General features: G+C 34.8%; 2 annotated features.

Annotated features, from left to right (window-relative positions):
• Window positions 10,367-10,867: an enhancer, noted in NCBI's record as "H3K4me1 hESC enhancer chr4:115124571-115125071 (GRCh37/hg19 assembly coordinates)". NCBI's record gives its function as "activates a minimal SCP1, AML or CMV promoter by ChIP-STARR-seq in primed H9 embryonic stem cells {active_cell/tissue: H9 hESC(primed)}" and the evidence as "EXISTENCE:reporter gene assay evidence [ECO:0000049][PMID:30033119]".
• Window positions 10,868-11,368: an enhancer, noted in NCBI's record as "H3K4me1 hESC enhancer chr4:115124070-115124570 (GRCh37/hg19 assembly coordinates)". NCBI's record gives its function as "activates a minimal SCP1, AML or CMV promoter by ChIP-STARR-seq in primed H9 embryonic stem cells {active_cell/tissue: H9 hESC(primed)}" and the evidence as "EXISTENCE:reporter gene assay evidence [ECO:0000049][PMID:30033119]".

Genomic DNA, 22,325 nt, shown 5'->3' with positions numbered 1-22,325 from the left:
TTAATTTGAGGTTCAGTGGAAGATTTACAGATCCTGTGAACAGAATATAAGTATGTGTGGTTATTTGTTTTTATGTGTGGTAATTTTATTTTTTTTTATAAATTCTCATAAACTAAAATAGATTAGATAACAAATATTTTCACAAACCAATGTTTATTCACATCAATCTTTATCTTCAGCAAATTAAAATAAAGTATTACTGGGAATGATTTTATTTTACACAAGAAATGAAAGTAAAGATGTTGATAATTATTATTTAGCGTATGACAGCAACAGTTCCAAGAATCCTTTTAAAGCTTAAAAAGTCTGAAATAACAGTGTTACATTAGTAAAGTGTTTCTGCAGACACTTGCAATATAAAGAAACATAATGGAGAGGTCTAGAAATAGAAACGTTAAAGAAAGTTTACTTAGAATAATCAATTTTACAAGTTTTCTTCAAGTCAGCTGTCCAGGGAGTTGACCAATTACTTTTTTTTTTGTTTGTTTGAGACAGAGTCTCTCTGTGGCCCAGGCTGGAGTGCAGTGGTGAGATCTTGGCTCACTGTAAGCTCCGCCTCCGGGGTTCACACCATTCTCCTGCCTCAGCCTCCCAAGTAGCTGGGACTACAGGTGCCCACCACCACGCCTGGCTAATTTTTTGTATTTTTAGTAGAGACGGGGTTTTACCAGACCAATTACTTTTAAAATGTTGTAGATAATAAAATGTGTCTAAGTTTCTGTGAAATTCATATTTTAGTGACTTTGTTGCCTTTATTCTTTGTCCCTATTTATTTTCTTAATTATAAATGAGGTTAAAATTTTTTAATATAGTTGTTAAATATTGTTACTTTGTTTTGTCAACTTTCTTGTATGTCCCTTGCATATGTTTTCAAAGGGTCTTTTCTTTTTATTTTCAAGAGTTCATTTTATACTAAGAAAATTACCAAATGTCAAAATAGAATTTTTTAACACTTGGTTAGTTCATTAACAAGCTAACTATATATTTGAGACATGTTTATCTATTTGTATATAAGTCATCTTTTTAACTTTTCAAAGCTGTATGTTGACACTTCTTTTCTGTCAAGTGAATGGCAACATTTTTTTCTAATTTTTCAGTTGTCTTTTGACTTATGTAAAACCTTATAAGATTTCATTGGCTTATATAATTAAAAATATTTTGTATAATTTGTTCATTGTTATCTTTGTGAATCTGAGATTTGGGGACATACTTAGAAATTACATCTCTTCCTGCAAAACTATTTAAAAAATTGAACACTAGCCTTTTCCAGTATGTTATGGTCTCTCATTTTGAATATTTACATCTTTCCTCTTTCAGAAATTATTCACAGATATGAAAGTAAGTAATCTGCTTATATTTTATCTAATATCTATCAATCTTTACATTTATTTTACACTTGTTAAATAACTCACCTTTACATCTCTGGAATAAAATGGCAATTTTTAAATATTCTACATGTCCATGTGTCTTTAGACATGTTTCTGTTCCATTTTTCTGTCTATCTAATCAAAAACAAGCGTCATCCTACTTTAGTGGCTAAAGCCCTACTTCTAGCGTTATTCTCTGGCACAGCTAACTCTATCCTGCTCCGCACTCAGCTTTGCAGGTCTCCTGACTATTCTTCCATGTATATCATTCCAGTTGGCCATTATATTAATATATAATCATATAAATTTAAAAATGTCTTGTTTTTATTGGGATGGCATATTTTACAAATTAATTTAGAAATAATTCACATCTTTACAACAGGAAAAATTATTATCCAAATATTAGGAGTGTCTTCCAATGTATTCAAGTATGTCTTGTCCCTTCCCGTTATTTGGAGCAAGACAAAATTATTATAATAGTCTTTCAAGAATTCTTATTTTTAATTTATTTATTCTTTATGCCATTTTTGTTGCTCCTGTTTTCTACTTTATTAGAAGCTTGTACTTTTGATAAAGTATGCATTGAATAAAACTTCTTAAATATTATGAAGCAAAAATCTAGCAAAGCTCATTCAAAGTGGTTAAGTGCTCAAGTCATTACAAATAGAATGAACTAAGGATGCTTGCCATCACCATTTTTATTCAATACCTTTTGGATGTCTTAGCAAATTTTTAGAATCAGGTAAAAACATTACTTTTATACATTATGGCCAAGAATAGATAAAACTAATTTTCTTTAATGACAACATGTGAAGTCACTGCTAATTGTCTACCAATGGATAGTCTCACCATTCTTATTTGCTGAAAAATCACACGTCTATTTAATACCCTCCTATTTTCCTGTTACTCATGGTGATGTACTGTCAGTATAAGCCAATCATGGGAATTCCATCTGCCTTCTAGGTTACTGGTTTTGGTGTAGGTATGTGACATAATTATAGTCAATGCGACAGTAGGAGAAATTTGCTGAGAATATTTGAGGAAAATATTTTTCTCAATTTCAAAAGAAATACTAAGGAGAAAATTATCTCCCTGTGTGTGGCCTGTGTATATTAATGTGATAGTAATATAATGGGTGACACATTAAACTGCAGTCATCGCATGACAATGAGTAGAGCTAGCTGGAAGGAAGCTACACACTGACAGGCAGAGATGAAAGGTCGCAGGACCCAGGTCCTTGTGCTGCTGAACTAAACAACCTTAGATATCTGTCTGTAAGATCTTTTTGGGTGACAAAACTAATTTTCCTCATGGTCTAAACCTATTGAACTGGGATTTTGTTTCTATTACTTGCAGCTAAGAATATATTGATATTTATTTACACTTAGAAAATTCCAATTACTACTATTGACATCAATACTGCAGAAATCAAAACTACTAAACAGAATAAGAAAATGTTGGAAGATGTCCATAGGGGACACTTGTGGAAAACATGCTTTTCTCCTCAGGCACAATATCCAGATCTCTATTGTCCTCAGTGGTCCCAGGCATCCAAAGTATGCTGGTTCCTTGTCAGCACTTAGAGGCTGGTTTCAGTCCTTTCAGTATTTCCTTTTATAATTCTGGCTAACATACTTAGCTATTATCTATATATTTAGATATAAGTTATAGTTCCTTTTAATTCTTGAATTGAAATAAAATAAATTGATTACATTATGCTTGCTTTTTTTCTAGTCTTCTCACACTCTCATTTTCAAATTATTATTTTTACATTTTAATGTTAACAATACAATAGTCTTTTCCATAACCAGAATTCCTACAAGTTTGACCTTTATTCTGTAGTTAAAAATCATCAAGGCATTTTCACCTCTTTTCACCTCTCCGTTATATCATGGCTTCTCCATTCCAGTTATTTATTTTGATGCAACTTCTGATTAAATAGATTATGGCATCGAGTAGTTTTAATTTTCAATAATGATTCAAGTAAACTAAATTTCTCAACTTCTTTTGTGTTTCATGTTTGTCATTCTTATATTTAAACAGCTTTTCTAGTTACACAATTAGATTATCAGTTATTTGCTGCATGTGCCACTATCTTCTAGCACTGAAGAAGTAAGGCTGTGGCCAGCCTGATTTTGTCTTTATCATGAGTTGCCAAGTTATCGTGAGGTTTTTTTTTTTCTGTAGAAATCCAGAATTTTCTATTTATTTGAAATAACAGTAACTTTACCAAGTTATTTCCAGAGATTAGTTTCTCTTTATCAGTTTTGCCTGGGACACAATGTGTTTTATTCAATAAATGTTTCTTTTATAAGATAGTTGACAATTCTGTTGAGTTTTTTTCTGTTTATTTTTTAGGAAAAATAAGAAAGCATAAATTGAATCTTTTATCTACCTTTATACTTATATACAGCTTGAATATTTCTAAATCTGAAAACCCAAAATCAGAAATGCTCCAAAATTCACAACTTTTTGAGTGTCAGCATAATGCTACAAGTCACAAATTTCACACCTGATTACATGTGATAGGTCATGTCAGAGGCAGGCATAAAACACAGTTTATTCAACATCCCCAAGGGACCAAAGACCCTCCCAGTCCTGTTCAATTGCAGTATATCTTTTCTGCACATGCCTAGATTCCCCCATGCAAGCACACCCACAAAAGGTGTGGGTGCAGACTGGACACACCAATGGCAAGTTTCCCATAATTCTCCACATGAGGTCAAGACCTGTGTGCTTTCCTCACTGTGTTTCTTTGCTTATTCTCTACTTGGTGATATAAAGCTATTGTTGAAAATACAGGGGCAAAAAAGCCTGCAGATACCTCTGTAGATAACAGTGATAAGAGAAGGAGGAAGCATTTATGTTTATAGCACGGAAAGTCAAACTGCTGAAGAAACAACAGTGGTATAAGTATAAAACATCTTTCAGAAGAGTATGGTGTTGAAATGACCATCATACATGATTTGAAGCAACAGAGGATAAACTGTTGAAGGTCTCTTCTGTGCTGAAAGTGTTAAACAGAAGTTAATTAAAAATAGAAAACACTACAGAAAGCTAAAAATGAAGATCCTGGTTATGTATTAAAAGAATGCCTCCATCACAGTTTCAGTGCACACATGCCACTTCATGGTATGCTGATTATGAAACAAGCAAAGAACCATTACTATGAACTGAAGAGAACTGTGAATATTCAACAGGATGGCAGCAGACATTTTTTTAAAAAGACTTGGCAGTACATGTTAAAAGATTTGTGGTGGTAAACCATTTGCTGATTGTGAAGCAGTGGGAGAATCCATTAACAAGTTTGCCAAGGTCACTGCTGATGAAAATCTGACACTAGAATAAGCCTGTGATATTGACGAAACATCACTGCTTTGGTGTTACTATCCCAGAAAGACACTGACTACCACTGATGAGACCGCCCCTACAGGAATTAAAAATGCTCAAGAGAGAATAACTGTGCTGGGATGTGCTAATGCAGCAGGCCTGACTATGTGTAAACTTGCTGAGATAGGCGAAAGAGTCCTCTCTCTTTTCAAGGAGTTAACTTCTTACCAGTCCATTGTGATGCTAACAAAAAGGCATGGATCACCAGGGTCATCTTTTCTGATTAATTTCACAAATATTTTTTACCAGTATCTCATGCTCACTGTAGGGGAACTGGACTGAATGATGATTGCAAGCCTGTTATTTCTTGATAACTGTATGTGTCTGCAAGTCCCCCAGCTGAAATACTCATCAAAAATAATTTTTATGCCATGTGCTTTCCCCCAAATATGACTTCATTAATTCAGCCACTTGATCAGGGTATTCTTAAATCAATAAAGAGTGAATATAAAATTACTTTTTGGATGGCATGGTAGCAGCAGAGAATGAGTTTTCAAAAGGCATTTAGCATGAAGAATGTTATACATGCTGCTGCCAGTGCTTGGAACACAGTGACTAAAGACACAATTGTGCATGCCTGGTACGACCTCTGCCTGTGACTAAGTTCAGTGATCATGATGAACAACGTGGTGATTTTGAAGAATTCCACATGTCAAGTGAGAAAAAAATGATGTCTGACCTTCTTATATATGCAAAATATATACGTTTAGAGTCTTTCAGTAAGCTGAAAGAAGTAAATATTGAAGGTGTTTTTTAACACCCCTAATGAGGCTCCAGTTTATTTCTTGACTAAGGTGAAATAGCCAAAGTGGTTCTGAGTCAAAGTGATCATGATAATAGTGACAATGAAAATGATGTAAACAGTACAAAAAAAAAGTGCCTATAGACCACAGGATGAAATGTGTGATGGGTTAATGGAAGCACTAGAGCAGTGTGTATATACAGTGGAACAAGAAATCATGTCAGTTCATAAAATCAGAGAGACTTTGAACACAAAAACCATTGTTAATGAGGCTCATAACTATGAAGGAAACATTTTTAAAAGCCATCTATCAGAAGATCTCCTTATTCTTAGAGGACCATATCTTGTTCTTCAATGGTTTCTGATGTTTCTTTTCATCTAAAAAAATAAAATTCAATGTACAGTAACCTTTTAATCAAAACATAGCATCACAGGTGGAGACTGAAAGCCTGCCATTGTCAGTGGTTGCTTTGTTTTGTTTGTTTGTTTATTTGTTTGTTTTGGGGACAGAGTCTTGCTCTGTCACCCAGCCTGGAGTACAATGGCACCATCTTGGCTCATAGCAACCTCTGTTTCCAAGGTTCAAGTGATTCTCCTGCCTCAGCTTAACAAGTAGCCAGGACTACAAGTGCGCACCAACACACCCAGCTCATTTTTGTATTTCTAGTAGAGATGGGGTTTCTCCATGTTGGCCAGGCTGGTCTCGAACTCCTGACCTCAAGTGATCCACCCACCTCGGCCTCCTAAAGTGCTGGGATTACAGGCGTGAGCCACTGTGCCCAGCCGGTGGTTGCTTTAACAGCTGATACAGGTTTTCTGGTGATGTTACTGTGCTGCTTAGTTACTGTGAACACATTTTTTTTTCACTGTATAAATTGTATGTCTTTTTTTACTATTAAGTATTTATGTGTAAATAAGTGTAAGAAAATGATTGCTTATCAGTAGCAGATAAATTCAGAGTCAGAAATGATGGTGATGCCAAACAAGCACAGATTGATTAAGTGGGTGGCTGATAAAACAACAATTTTGCTTTCTGATGGTTCAGTGTACACAAATGTTTCCTGTAAAAAATTATTTAAAATATTGTATAAAATTACCTCCAGGCTATGTTTATAAAATGTGTATGAAATGTAAATGAATTTTATGTTTAGACATGTGTCACATCCCTGACACATATCATTATGTATACGAAACATTTCAAAATCCAAAAAAATCTAATATCTGAAATACTTCTGGTCCCAAGCATTTCAGATAAAGAATTATCCCTCTCTCTCTCCATATATATATATATATATATATATATATATATATATATATGTTTTATATATATACAATTTATATATAAATATAAATATATTTATATATTCATATATTTATATAAATATATTTATATATTCATATATTTATATAAATATATTTATATATTTATATATTCATATATTTATATATTCATATATTTATATATTCATATATTTATATATTTATATAAATATATAATTTATTTATATATTTATGTTTATATATGTGTGTATTATATACACACATATATACACATATATTATATATACACATTATATATTATATATTTATATGTATATTCCTATACATATAAAATTTGTGTATATAAATTCATCTGATCTGTAATCACTTAATTTTGATGTGACTTTTCACAAATTCATTCATCCCCAGCAGCTTTTATTCTATCTTTTCTGCCTTTAAGATAGCTCTTATTTTTGTAATGCCTTTATTTTAACTTCTATTATTTTTCCACATCTGGCAACTTGTATTTTTACCTCTTTATTATCTATTCTTTTATCTAATCCTTTCATGTTTTCTTTGACTAGTGTATCTTTTATTAGGGATTTTTATTTTAAAAAGTATGTTCTTGATAATTTTTTCTGATATTTTGTGCATTGCCTTTAGCTGGTTTTCTCCTCTTCATTTTTGTTTTGTACTACCTTATAGAGACCCTTTGCTGATTCCTTAACTCCTTCTTTACGTAGAGTGGTTTAATCAGGGTTATCAATGTATTTAATAATATTTTAGGGCAGGACTAGCAGAGGTAACTAGCAACATTTATTTGAATGTATCTGCCGCAAATTCCCTTATACTAATACGTTTTGTTTTACATCCTTGGAATATGGCATTCATTGTAGATAGGGGAATTCTAGAGATGTGCTACTATCTTTGATTTGAATGCCGACTATACTTGTCAGCTAAGTTATCGTGGGTGTCATTTAATTTCTCTGTGCCTCAGTTTCTTTGTCCCTATAAAGGCAATAATAATGATATACCTACTTTATAGGGTTGTAGAGAGGCTTTAATAGGTTAGTAAATGTACAGTGCTTAAAATAAACATCTACTAAATAAGTAGTGCTTAAACATCTACTAAATAAGAGATATTAATATTATATTTTCTCTGTTTTCAATGTTACTCCTCCTGTATTTCTGCTATACAGCAGAAAGCCCGTATACCTCTAGATGAAGCTCTCTGTGTCTCAATTTTTCCATTTTTTAAAAAAATCTCTGTTAGCTGATTCTATTTAGAAAATGCACATCTGTTTGACTCTTCCTTACTGCAAACTAAGTTATCTCCAATTGTTTCTCTAAATTAGAAAGTAAGGTTACAGAAAACAAACAAACAAACAATGGAAGTTAATTCTTTCTTTAGCTTTACCAACACTACCATTTTGAGTCCTAAGGATGGTCTGTGCTACTTATCTAGACATCATTGTCATAGGCATTCTCATTACCTTGACATTTTCAGGCCATATAACTTAATTTTAGAAAAAAAAATCCTGAATATGTCTTGAGATATTTATCAGTTCCATATTTTACTTTAATTAATCTACATACATCATTATACTTAGAAGATATTTCCCAAGTTTGTACACTGTGGATGTGGCTATTTTCTAGTGTCACTGTATTTTTTAATTTCTTTGTACTGTTTCCAGTGAATTTCAAAAACAAAGATAGAGAAAACAATTTTTGCAACAACCTCTTGAAATAAAAATCCCGTAAATTGTATTTTGTGTGGGGTCTCATAATTTAAATAATAGAATCCTGTGGGTTCACAGTTAATAGTCATTTTTAAAAATTTTCCAAGTAGCATATATTCCATTTTTTTATATATAGAAGCAGGGTCAAGTTCCCCTCCTGGAATAGAGGGAAAATACGCATCTTTAAACTACATTTTTAACATTTATGTTTTCAAATAACATATTACATGACTATAGAGGATAAATTTGGAGGAGAAAGTAAAACTGTGAGTGTGTGTGCATGCATGTTTTTCCCAACAACTTGCATAGCTTCCAGAGAATGAGAACAAACATGTCCACAGCTCTGGAAAAACTGAGGGAAATAGCACACCAGGGGAAAGAGCAGAGCACAATGTCTGCAAGATAATCAAGCTATTTTGGATTGCAGGTAGTGGAAATTTCAAAAATCTCCTTGATTTTTTTTTAACTTGCTTCCTATTCAGGCAAAAGCTAAACTTCAAGCTAATTTATTATATTATAACTATTTTAGCCTAGTTCATTTTGATATTAACATCTCTCTTTACCATATGACTATTGATTTTTAAAATTCATGCTTTAATGATTCCATTGCATCATTTTTAATTCTTAATTTATGTTTCTAATTTTAGCATATTTCAAATCTATTTCAAACTAGATAGTAAATAAATAATAAAGGAGTATGTTAATTAATAAAAAAGAAGAAAATATAAATATGGGGTACATGGGAGACATTGCTGAGGAGTTTTCTTTCTTGCCTTTTCCATATTGAATAATGCCCTATTTGATAATTAAAATTTGACCACAGCCTGATATTACTGTGATTCTCCACTGCCTCAAAAAAGAAAATATTCTATCTTTCTCAGAGAGACTTACTCTTCATAATGTTTAAAGGCAGCAGCAGACATAGTATCCATAATGTAAAAAATGTAATTTTTATATTTAATCGTATGTTTTTCTTTCATTAATGTACGGAGTTGTTGAGCCATGCATATTTATCTGAATGATAGGTTAGATGTATATATGTCCTATCACTATCATGGAGTATAATTAATTTTATCAGTCAAATAAGCCAAATTATGACTCATCAGTTGATATAGTTTATCTCCTAAAACCATTTTGTTTCTATGAAAGTTATTAGAGTTCTGCTGCTATATTTGCTCAATTTTCCACTTAATCTGTCAGACATAAGGTTTTTAATCTTTGTGGAATTTGTCTATTGCTCACAGTATGATGCCTATTGCTATGACTCTTTTTATCTCTGTTTGAATTAGTCCAGCTACCTTCTACTCTTCTTTTCTCCTCTATACTGTATTATTAAAAGATTTTTTTCTGTAATTTAGTTTTATTTTTATTGGTATTGCAAATGTCATATACCAGTAAGTATTTTAGTAAAAGGATATTTTTACAGACAAATGCACACCCATTTTTTTCTGTTTTTGAGACGGAGTCTCACTCTGTTGCCCAGGATGGAGTGCGGTGGCGAAATCTCGGCTCCATGCAACCTCCACCTCCCAGGTTCAAGCGATTTTTCTGCCTCAGCCTCCCAAGTAGCTGGGATTACAGGTGCCCATCACCACATCTGGCTAATTTTTTTGTGTGTATTTTTAGTAGAGATGGGGTTTTACCATGTTGGCCAGGCTGGACTTGAACTCCTGACCTCAGGTGATCCACCCATCTCAGCCTCCCAAAGTGCGGGGATTACAGGCATGAGCCACTGTGCCCAGCCTGCACACCCTTTTTATTGTTGAAATAGACCCACATTAACTCATCCTTTATGAAACTGAGACGATGAAACAGAACAAGATAAGAAGGAGGAAGAGGAGGAAAGGAAGAAGAGGGGCAGAACAACAACAACAAAGAGAAGAACAGAGAAAAAAAGGTGACAGCAATTACAGGTTATTTTGCAGTCAATGTGCTTTAATATGAACCAAAACCAATAAAAAGTCGTGATGAGGTATTACTCCTCTCCTTCCCAATTTAAAAATGAAAACGAATTATTTTATACAAGTATATGTAAAAGTCTAAACATGGAAAAGCAAATCTATTGTTAATATATTTCACATACAGTATAGGTAAATGTCAATATGTATTTTAGAAATGGTATGAAATTTGAACTAAATTAATATTTATTCAAATACCACATGACCATAATTTTATGTTTAGTATTCTAAAAATATTTCTGATGTTAAAGAACTTGATTAAGAATATGACTCTGGGCCGGGCGCGGTGGCTCACGCCTGTAATCCCAGCACTTTGGGAGGCCGAGACGGGCGGATCACGATGTCAGGAGATCGAGACCATCCCGGCTAAAACGGTGAAACCCCGTCTCTACTAAAAATACAAAAAATTAGCCGGGCGTAGTGGCGGGCGCCTGTGGTCCCAGCTGCTTGGGAGGCTGAGGCAGGAGAATGGCGTGAACCCGGGAGGCGAAGCTTGCAGTGAGCCGAGATCCCGCCACTGCACTCCAGCCTGGGCGACAGAGCGAGACTCCGTCTCAAAAAAAAAAAAAAAAAAGAATATGACTCTGATAGGTTATTTCTTTAATTTTCAAAATTATATAATTTTAATTAATTACTGATTAAATAATCAGTTAACTTTTCTGCACCAGTAAGGAATGCCAAGTCTTCATTCCTAAGTGGCATCATTTTGTAAGAAAATTCTGGGAGATAATTAGAGGAGAAACTAATGAAACAAAAAAGGTAAGGATTAGGAAATAAATAGGTGTTTGCTAGCATTGAATCAAGCTTTCTGTCCTGTAATTTTAAATAGAAATAAAGAACAATAGAACTCTCAATAGACCACATATGACTTGGAAGGACACTGAGATAACTGTAAAACGATGTGAAGTACCAAACTAATCAAGGTTATTTGCTGAAAGATAATTAGGAAAGTACAAAAGGGTCGACCTAAAAATTATTAAATTTTTCAAATGAATAGGAATACAACTCATCTTTCTCCCCTGTCATCAACTTTCTTTGTCCATGGAACTCATTGCACTTACATACCTCTTTTTGTAAAATCATATATTGCTTTGTAATAGCTCATAAGTTATCTTATTTAATATTTGATATATATATGAAACATTATCACACCTATTTTGTAAACTTCTCTTCAGCAGGGCTCCTTGTGGTATCTGAAACATGCTTAGTATAATGATGTACACCTCCTACTGTAACAACCTCTGTACCTGCAATCCACTCAGACATTTATTAATGAACATGCCGGATTGATCAGGCCTTCATATTTGTTGTTCCACTCTGATTGCTAATTAATCAAGAGCTAGCTTATAACACCTCCCTCCCCACTTTTTCTTTCCTATTCTCTTTATGCTCAACCTTAATTTTTTTTTTTTGCAGGACAATCATTTATTCATGTGACTGGCTTATAAAAATCTGCCATTTTTATCTGGCTTTCATATTGACCCTCAAATTTTCAATATTGTAATATTAATTGCAATGATACATATGAACACATGGAAAGCTATTGCCTAATTTTTCTTCTACAACTGCAAAGATCCTCATTGCATGCCTTTTCTCTGGGACCTAAGTACACTTTAAATGTTTAGAAAGTATTTTTAAATATTTTCTCCTTTGTTGTTTCAGAGATGTAAATTGCCTTTTTCTACATTTTGATTTATAGGTACTGTATATGTTTAAATTTTTAGAATTTTGTTGCCCTTTTTCTTGATATATTATTATTCCTAAACTTACAAAACACAGCATATACATATTAAACAGCTAACCAGATTTCTCATTAGCAAGAAGCTCTGGGAAATAAGAAGGGAAAAGAGTATAAGAAATGTGGCAGGAATTTAAAAAAAAAAAAAAAAAAAAAAACCTCATCAAAAGATGTTTTTGTTTGGGCCTATGTAGAGCCTACTTAAAAGTTGTTAGATTATTCCCATCCAGAAGACTGTGGTGAAAATTTAATTTTTGAATTTATGAAAACTAATATATGTGCATGTTTACTTCCATCTATATATTATATTATATGAAGTATACATAAGTATACATAAAAAGTATACAGGGTGATAGAGGAGTTGGAGTGAGATGGAGAAATAGAAGGCTCTGCCAATCATCCCCTCTGCAAGGACACCGATTTAACAACTATCTACACATAAAAGCACCTTTGTAAGAACCAAAAAACAGGTGAGCACTCATAGTACCTGGCTGTAATTTTGTATTACTGAAAAAGGCACTGAACAGATAGTAAAATACAGTCTTGAATTCCCAACACCACCCCTCCTCTATGCCCTGGCAATGGCAGCATAGTGAGGAGGGCATTTCTGTGTGCAAACAGGGGCAGATAGTGCAGCAACTTTGAGGCATTAAACTCACTGGCTGTCCGGTTATAGCAGAAAGGAAAACTGGACCAAATTCAGCTGATGCTCACCCACAGAGGGAGCATTTAAACAGCCCTCACCAGAGAGGTATTGCCAATCCCAGTGGTAAAAACTTGACTTCCACAAGCCTTGCTACTGTGTGTTATAGTGTTCTGGGGCTCTAAATAAACTTGAAAGGCAGTCTAGGCCACAAACACTGCAACACCTAGAAGAGTCCTAGTGCTAAACTGGGCCTAGAGACAGTGGACTCAGGGGGCACATGACTTACTAAGACACCAACTGTGGTCTGTGGTAGCTAAAGGAGTGCTGGCATCAATCTTCCCCTACCCCAGGCAGCACAGCTTGCAGCCCCAAAAGAGACTCCTTCCTTACGCTTAAGGAGAAGAGAAGAAAAAGTAGGAAGGATATTGTCTTGCATTTTGGATACTAGCTCAGCCACAGCAGAATAAGGCACCAGTCAGAGTTGTGAGGCCCTTTTTCCAGGCTCTAGCTCCCAGATGGCATTTCTAGACATACCCTGAGCCAGAAGGGAACCTACTGCCTTGGAGGGAAGGACTTGATTCTGGCAGCATTTATTACCTGCTAACTGAAGAGCTCTTGGGCCCTGAATAACCAGTAGCAATACCCAGGTGTGGTGGCTGTGGGCAAGACTCCTGCTTCAGCAAAGCAGAGGGAAAAGTAAAGGGGGCTTTGTCTTGCATGTTAGTTACCAGCTCAGCCACAGGGTGGTAGAGCACTAACCGAGCCCTTTGGATCCATGATTCCAGGACTTGACTCTTGGATGTCATTTCTAGACCTGCTCTTGACCAAAGGAAAGACCACTGCCCTGAAGGGTGAGTACCAAGCCAGGCAGCATTTACCAAAAGCTGACTGAAGAGCCTTGGGACTTGAAGGAACACCAATAGTAGTCTGGCAGTCCTTCCTGTGGGACTATGGTGGTGGTGGTAGCCATGGGGTAAGGCTCCTCTACCTTTGGAAATCATTGGGGAGAGTGAGAAGGACCGCATCTTATGGTTTAAGTGCCGGTTCATCCACAGCACAGTAGACCACAAGGTAGACTTCTAGTTTACTCTAGTCCCTGGCTCCTGGACAGTACCTCTGGACCTGCCTGGGACCTAGGGGAGTTTGTTGCTCCGAAGCAAAGGACAAAGGCTTGGCTGGCTTTGCCACCTGCTGATTATAGAGGCCCAGGGCCTTAAGCAAACATAGGCAGGAGCCAAGGATGACAGCAGGCCTTGGGTGAGACCCAGTGCTGTGCTGGCTTTAGGTCTGACCCAGCACAGTCATAGTAGTGGTGGCCACAGAGGTGCTTGTTTCACTTCAATCCCAGCTTCAGGTGGCTCAGAACAAAGAGACTTCATTTGTTTGGGAGAAAGTAAAAGAAGAGAACAAGAGTCTCTGCCTGGTAATCCAGAGAATTCTCCTGGATCTTGTCCAAGACCATCAATGTTGTACCTCTATGAGTCTGCAAAAAGCACAGCATTAATGGGCTCGAGGTGCCCCCTAAAGTAGATATAGCTTGGATCACAACACCAAGAGCTTTCAAATATCTGTAAAGCCTTCCAAGAAGGACAGGTACAAAGAACCCCAGAATGTTAAGAAATGCCCAGACACAAACATCTGCAAGTATCAAGGCAATCCAGGAAAATATGACATCACCAAATGAACTAAATAAGGTACCAGGAACAAGTCCTCAAGAAGCAGAGATATGTGACTTTTCAGACAGAATTCAAAATAGCTTTTGAGGAAACCCAACGAAATTCAAGATAACACAGAGAAGAGATTCAGAATTCTATCAGATAAATTTAACAAAGATATTGAAATAATTGAAAAGAATTAAGAAGAAATTCTAGAGCTGAAAAATGCAATTGGTACACTGAAGAATGCATGCAGTCCTAAATAGTAGAATGGGTCCAGCAGAAGAAAGCATTAGTGAACTTAAAGACAGGGTATTTGAAAATACACACTCAGAGGAGACAAAAGAAAAAAGAATAAAAAACAATGAAGCATGCCTACAGGATCTAGAAAATAGCCCAAAAGGGTAAGTCTAAGAATTATTAGCCTTAAAGAGGAGATAGACAGGAGTAGAAGGTTTATTCAAAGGGATAATAACAGAGAATGTCCCAAACCTAAAGAAAGTTATCAATATCCAAGTACAAGAAAGTTAGAGAACACCAAGCAGATTTAACCCAAAGAAGACTATATTTAATAGTCAAACTACTAAGGATCAAAGATAAAGAAAGGATCCTAAAAGCAGCAAGAGAAAAGAAATAAATACAAGGAACTTTAATACATCTGACAGCAGACTTTTCAGTGGAAACCTTATGAGCCAGGAGAGAGTGGCATGACATATTCAAAGTGTGAAGAAAAAATATTCAGCAAAAATATTCTTCAACCATGAAGGGAAAATGAAGACTTTCCCAGACAAACAAAAGCTGAGGGATTTCACCAACACCAGACTGGTCCGGCAAGAAATGCTAATACGTCAATCAGAAAGAAAAGGACATTAGTGAGCAAAAAGTAATCACCGGAAGGTACAAAACTCACTGGTAATAGCCAATACAGAGAAAAACACAGAATATTATAATACCGTAACTGTGGTATGTAAACTGCTCTTATCCTAAGTAGAAAGACTAAAGGATGAACCAATCAAAAATAATAACTACAAAATTTTTTAAGACTTACTGAGTACAATAAGATATAAAACAAAACAATAAGTTAAAAAGCAGGGGTACTAAGATAAGATATAGAGTTTTTAATGATTTTATTTTCACTTATTTGTTTATGCAAACAGTGTTAAGTTGTTATCAGCTTAAAATAATGAGTTGTAAGATAGTATCTGCAAGCCTCATAGTCACCTCAAACCAAAAAACATACAACAAATAAACAAAAAATAAAAAGCAAGAAACTAAATCATATCACCAGAGAAAATTACCTTCACTAAAAGGAACACAGGAAGGAAATATAAAAGGAAGAGAAGACCACAAAACAACCAGAAAACAAGTAACAAAATTCAGGAGGAGTGCATCCTTACTTATCAATAATAATATTGAATGTAAATAGACTAAACTAATCAAAAGATACAGAGTAGCTAAATGGATAAAAAATCAAGACCCATTCATCTGTTGCCTACAAGAACACCTTTGAAGACACACATAGACTGAAAATAAAGGGATGGAAAAAGATATTCCATGCCAATGGCAACCAAAAAATAGCAGGAGTAGCTATAGTTACACCAGATAAAATAGATTTCAAGACAAAAATTATAAGAAGAGACAAAGAAGGTCACTATATAATAAAAAAGGGGTTAACTTAGCAAGAGGATATCACAATTGTAAATATATATGCACCCAACACTGAAGCACCCGGATACATAAAACAAACATTAGAACTAAAGAGAGAGATATGTCCCAATACAATAGCTGGAGACTTCAGCATCACATTTCAGCATTGGACAGATATTCCTGAGAGAATCAGCAAAGAAACATCAGACTTAATCATCACTAAAGACCAAATGGATCTAATAGACATTTCATCCAATAGCTGCAGGAAACACATGCTTTTCTTCACCACATGGATCATTCTCATGGATGGACCATATGTTAGGTCACAAAACACATATGAAAACACTAAAGAAATTGAAATAATATTAAGCATCTTATCTGACTACATTGCAATGAAACTAGAAATTGATAGCAGGAGGAATTTAAGTACTATGCAAGTACGTGGAAATTAATCAGTGTGCCCCTGAATGACCAGTGGGTCAATGAAGAAATTAGGAAAAAAATTTAAAAGTTTCTTGAAACAATGAAAACAAAACATGTCAAAATCTAGGAGACAGAGCAAAAGTAGTACTAAGAGACAAGTTTATAGCTGTAAGTGCCTACATCAAAAAAGAATAAGAACTTCAAATAAAAAAAACTAATAACGTATCTTAAAGAACTAGAAAGGCCAGAGCAAACCAAACCCAAAATTGATAGAAGAAAAGAAATGAGAAAAATTATAGTAGAAAGAGATAAAATTGAAATGAAGAAAACAATACAAAAGATTAATGACACAAAACTTGTTTTTTTTTTAAAAAAAAGTTAAACAAAATTGACAAACTTTTGGCCAAACTAAGAAGAAAAGAAAGATTTAAATAAATTAGAAAATCCAGAAGAAATGGATAAATTTCTAGACTCATACAACCTACCATGAAGAAGAAGATTGAACCATGAAGAAATTCAAAACCTGAACAGACTAATAACAGGTAATAAGATTGAAGCCATAATAAAAAAAAATCTCCCAGTAAAGAAAAGCCTGGGACCCAAAGGCTTCACCGGTAAATTCTACCAAACATTTCAAGAGAAACTGACACCAATCCTACTCAAACTATTCTGAAAAATAGGGGAGGAGGGAATACTTCCAAATCCATGCTATGATGCCAGTATTACCCTGATAACAAAAGCAGACACAGATGCATCGAAGAAAGAAAACTGCTAGCCAGTATCTCTGATGAATACTGATGCAAAAATCCTCAAAAAAATATGAACAAACCAAGTTCAACAATACATTAAAAAGATTTGTCATAGCCAAGTGGGATTTATCCTTGGGATAAATCCCAGGGTTACAGTTAGCATCATACTGAATGCTGAAAAAATTTAAGGCTTTTCTCTAAAATCTGGAACACAACAGGGCCGCCCACTGTCACCACTGTTATTCAACATAGTATTGGAAGTCTTAGCTAGAGCAATCAGACAAGAGAAAGATATAAAGGGCTTCCAAATTGGACAGGAAGAAGTCAAATTTTCCTTTTTTACAGATGATATAATCTTATATTTGGAAAAACCTAAAGACTCCACAAAAAAAATGATTACCTGATAAACAAATTCAGTAAAGTTATAGGATACAAAATCAACATACAAAAATCAGTAGCATTTCTATTTGCTAATTGTGAACAAGCTGAAAAAGAAATTTAAAAATTAATCCTATTTATAATAGCCACAAATAAAATACCTAGGAATTAACCAAAGAAGTGAAAGATCTCTACAATTAAAACTATAAAAGACTAATGAAAGAAAATGGAGAGAATACCAAAAAAATTTTTTTAAAACCATGTTAATAGATGGAAGAATCAAAATTGTTAAAATGTTCATACTACCCAAAGCAATCTACAGATTCCATGCAATCCCTATCAAAATACCAATGATATTTTTTACAAAAATAGAAAAAATTCTAAAATGTATAGGGAACCACAAAAACCAGAATAGCTAAAGCTATTCCAAGCAAAAAGAACAAAATTAGAAGAATCACATTACCTGACTTCGAATTATACGACAGAGCTCTAGTAATCAAAACAGCATGATACCGGCATAAAAACAGACACATAGACCAACGAAACAGAATAGAAAACCCAGAAACAAATCCATAAACCTAAAATGAACTCATTTTCAACAAAGTTGCCAAGAACATACACTGAGGAAAATGCAGTCTCTTCAATAAATGATGTGGGGAAAACTAGATATCCATATTCAGAACAATGTAACTAGACTTCTGTCTCTCACCTTATACAAAAATCAAGCCAAAATGGATTAAAGACTCTAAGTCTTCAAACTATGAAAGTACTATAAGGAAATATTGGAGAAGATAATTGGTCTGGGAGAAAATTTCTTGAGTAATACTCCACAAGCACAAGGAACCAAAGCAAAAATGGACAAATGGGATCATATCAAGTTTAAAAGCTTCTGTACAGCAAAGGAAATAATCAACAAAGTAAGGAGACAACCCACAGAATGGGAGAAAATATTTGCAAACTATTTGCAAACAAATCTGGTGAGGGATTGATAACCAGAATATATACGGAGCACAAACAACTCTATAGGAAAAAAATCTAATAAGCTGATTAAAAATGGGCAAAAAATTTGAGTAGACATTTCACAAAGAAAGACATACAAATGACAAACAGGCATATGAAAAGTTGCTCAATGTCACTGATCATAAGAGAAATGCAAATCTTCCAGTTAAAATGGCTTATATTAAAAAGACAGGCAAAACAAATACTGATGAGGATGTGGAGAAAAGGGAACACTCATATACTGCTGGTCGGAGTGTAAATTAGCACAAGCACTATGGAGAACTCTTTGAAGCTTCCTCAAAAAACCCAAAAATAGAGCTATCATATAATTTAGCAATCTCACTGCTGGGTATATACTCAGAAGAATTGAAATCAGTGTATCAAAGTGATATCTGCACTTCCACGTTTTTTGCAGCACTGTTCACAATAGCCAAGATTTTGGAAACAACCTACGTGTTCATCAACGGTTGATGAACAAAGAAAATGTGGTATACACAATGGAGTACTGTTCAGCAATAGAAAGAAATGAGAACTTGTCAATTGTAACAACATGGATGGAACTGGAGGATATTACATTAAATAAAATAAGCCAGGCACAGGAAGACTAACTTTGCATGGTCTCATTCATTTGTGAGATCTAAGAATCAAAACAATTGACCTCATGGTTGTAGAGAGTAGAAGGATGGATACCAGAGGCCAGGAAGGGTAATTGGGTTTAGAGGGGAAAACAGGATGGTTAACGGGAAAAAAAAAAAGAGAGAGAGAATAAATAAGACCTACTAATTGACAGCACAACAGGGTGACTATAGTCAATAACTTAACTGTACATGTTAAAATAACTAAGATATTAGAATTAGATTGTGACACAAAGAATAAATGCTTGAGGGGATGGATATCCCATTGTCCATGATGTGATTATTATGCATTGCATGCCTGCATCAAAGTGTCTCACTTATCCCATAAATATATGTATCTACTATGTATCCACAAAAATTAAAAATTAAAAAATATGCATAGGGTGAAGCAGAACAAGAAGGAATCATATAAAGCTAGCACAACTTATAGACTATTGAAAGTTAGGTGATCAAGCAATGTGAAATAAAGTTTAGAATTAAATTAGTATTTTTCAAAAAAAAAGGTATAGATTTACACTAATATTGTAAACCAAAAGTCAAAAACTACTGATTTGTAGCAAAAATCCATTCTACTAATCTGTTTCAGTTTCCTATACAATGTTAGTCATCTTAATTTCTTAAATTTTTTTTAACATTTAAATGAATACAAGTTCCCATAAAATCTTGATCTCTGAACTCTCAAAAAATCAAATTTCCGGTAACACTAGGCCTGCGCTCCCAAAGGGCAGTGATAAACCAGAGCTATGTTGCAGTTTTCTTCATGCTTTTAGGGCATTTCAGTCTTCCTATTGCTTCTGCTGCACTGAATACAAGGGTCAGTGGCCAGTCCTGAGCATAACTGTCACGTTTTTGTAGATAACAATTTTTTCAAAAGGAAACATTTCTGGTATTCATATTCTGTCAAAAATAGAAAAATGAAAGATCAGTTTGGAGGACCTTATACTTCAAAATAAAGGGAGGTGGGTGAAGAAAGGGAAGAGCATATGGTGGAAGCATAAATTGTTTCTACATGTTTAATATTAAGCAATAAAAGAAGGTTTTACAAAAATAACTGTCTGCTTTCCTCATGTATTCATACCCAGCCTCTGTAACCATGTGAAATTGCAAACTTTGTTTAAAACACTTATCTGTTCCCTTTTCCCTATCACGTCAGAAAGCGTAAACAGAGAATATCTTAGCACTGCCAAATTCAAAATTTACTTGTTTGCTATTCTTTTACCCAACCCTACTTCTATTTCACCACTTATGTTAAAAACATAACCAAGCAATTAACTCTATGGCAGTGGTTCTCAACCCTAGCTACACACTAGACTCACCTGGGACACTTTAAAAATACCACTGCCATGCCTCCACCCCCAGAGGTTCTTATTTAGTATGTATATAATGTGACTTTTCCATCAGCACTTAAATTATTTTTAGCTCCCCATATGATTTTAATGGGAAGCCAAGGTTAGACTCATTGCTCCAAGAATTTTGCTGTCCATTAAATACTGGAATATATGCCATCCAACCTCTGCTCTCTGTCACTTTGCAAATTTCATGAGTTACTTAACCTCCTTAGGTCAAATATTTTTCTTTATAAAATGCTATAGGCAGTGACACAGGGTGAGTTCTTCTGGAAGCTGAAACTAAGGCAAGGATTCCAGTGAAAAACATATTACACACTTTCAGGAGCAAATTCCCCAGCAGCCTGATACTGCTAGAAGCTCTAGAGAGTGAATGACACCTCAAAGTTGGTCACAAACATGAAGGCAAAGAAGTAGAGCTTTTGTACTCCTGCACCAGTTATTGGCTATGAAAGGGTGGGAGTGGGGAGGCAGGGGAAATGACCTAAGAATTTCCAGTGCTTCCAGCCACCACTGCCTACAGGTGAGGGGCTCTGTTGGTCAAGGGCAATCCTCTGATCACTGGTATGCACAATCAGCAGGAAAGCACCCAGAAGATGGGGGATGGGTGCATGGAGCTGGAATACAGGATCCTAGGGGCATTTCTATGGGACTCCATGCAACCGTGCCCACTACAGTCCACCCACACATTCTTACAGAAGGGAAAGTGCAGGATGATGGTGAAGGACAAGGTGGTGTTGAACTAGAAGATCTCGAAGACCTTTTCTAGGTGAAAAAAAATCTATAAAATACTGTCTGAAACATGCTGTTTGAATCTTTGTTTTCTAACTGATAAATACTTAAAGATTTTGTTCTCTCTTTGCCTCAATCACCTTTTGATTCCTATTTTGGTAACTGCATGACAGTTTGACAGGATACTAATTAACAACAAAAACTTGATTATATCAAGGAAGCTTAAGGAAATACCTTAAAGCTTTAATAAAGGAAGGAAAACATTCTTCACCATGGTAGTTCCTCAGTCTTACCAGTCAGGATGCTATATATTTGTAAGCCAATTTGGAGTCATGTAACATGACCAAAGATTGACATAAATGACTAGATATGTAGAAGATATATTTTTATATTTGCCACATATTTATTTAACTAATTATGTAAGAATAATACATAATTCTTACATAATCAGCATGGTGGCTCACGCCTGTAATCCCAACACTTTGGGAAGCTGAGGTGGGTGGATCACCATAGGTTGGGTGTTCAAGACCAGCCTAGCAAACATGGTGAAACCCTGTCTCTACTAAAAATACAAAAATTAGCTGGGCATGTTGGTGCACACCTGTAATCCCAGCTACTCGGGAAGCTGAGGCAAGAGAGTTGCTTAAACCAGGGAGGTGGAGATTGCAGTGAGCCTAGGTAGCTGCCATTGCACTCCAGCCTGGGTGACAGAGTGAGCAAGAAGCATCTATGTACAATTTAGTTTCTGTTATCTGTTTTAATCAGAGATCCTATAATGGGCTATGTAAGACTTATGTTCAGATGATTGAGGCTTTTAGCAAATATATTTTCCTAGTTGCAGAGAATTAAGGGAACAGACAGCAAGAACAGCTTTTCAGGCACTTAATTTTTTTTGCTATGAAAAACTATAGTAAATGAAGC

Source organism: Homo sapiens, chromosome 4 (genome assembly GCF_000001405.40).
Source record: "Homo sapiens chromosome 4, GRCh38.p14 Primary Assembly".
In the NCBI taxonomy this organism is placed as follows: Eukaryota; Metazoa; Chordata; class Mammalia; order Primates; family Hominidae; genus Homo; species Homo sapiens.
Note: the sequence above shows the minus strand (reverse complement) of the source record. Positions and strands in the feature narration are given on the sequence as shown.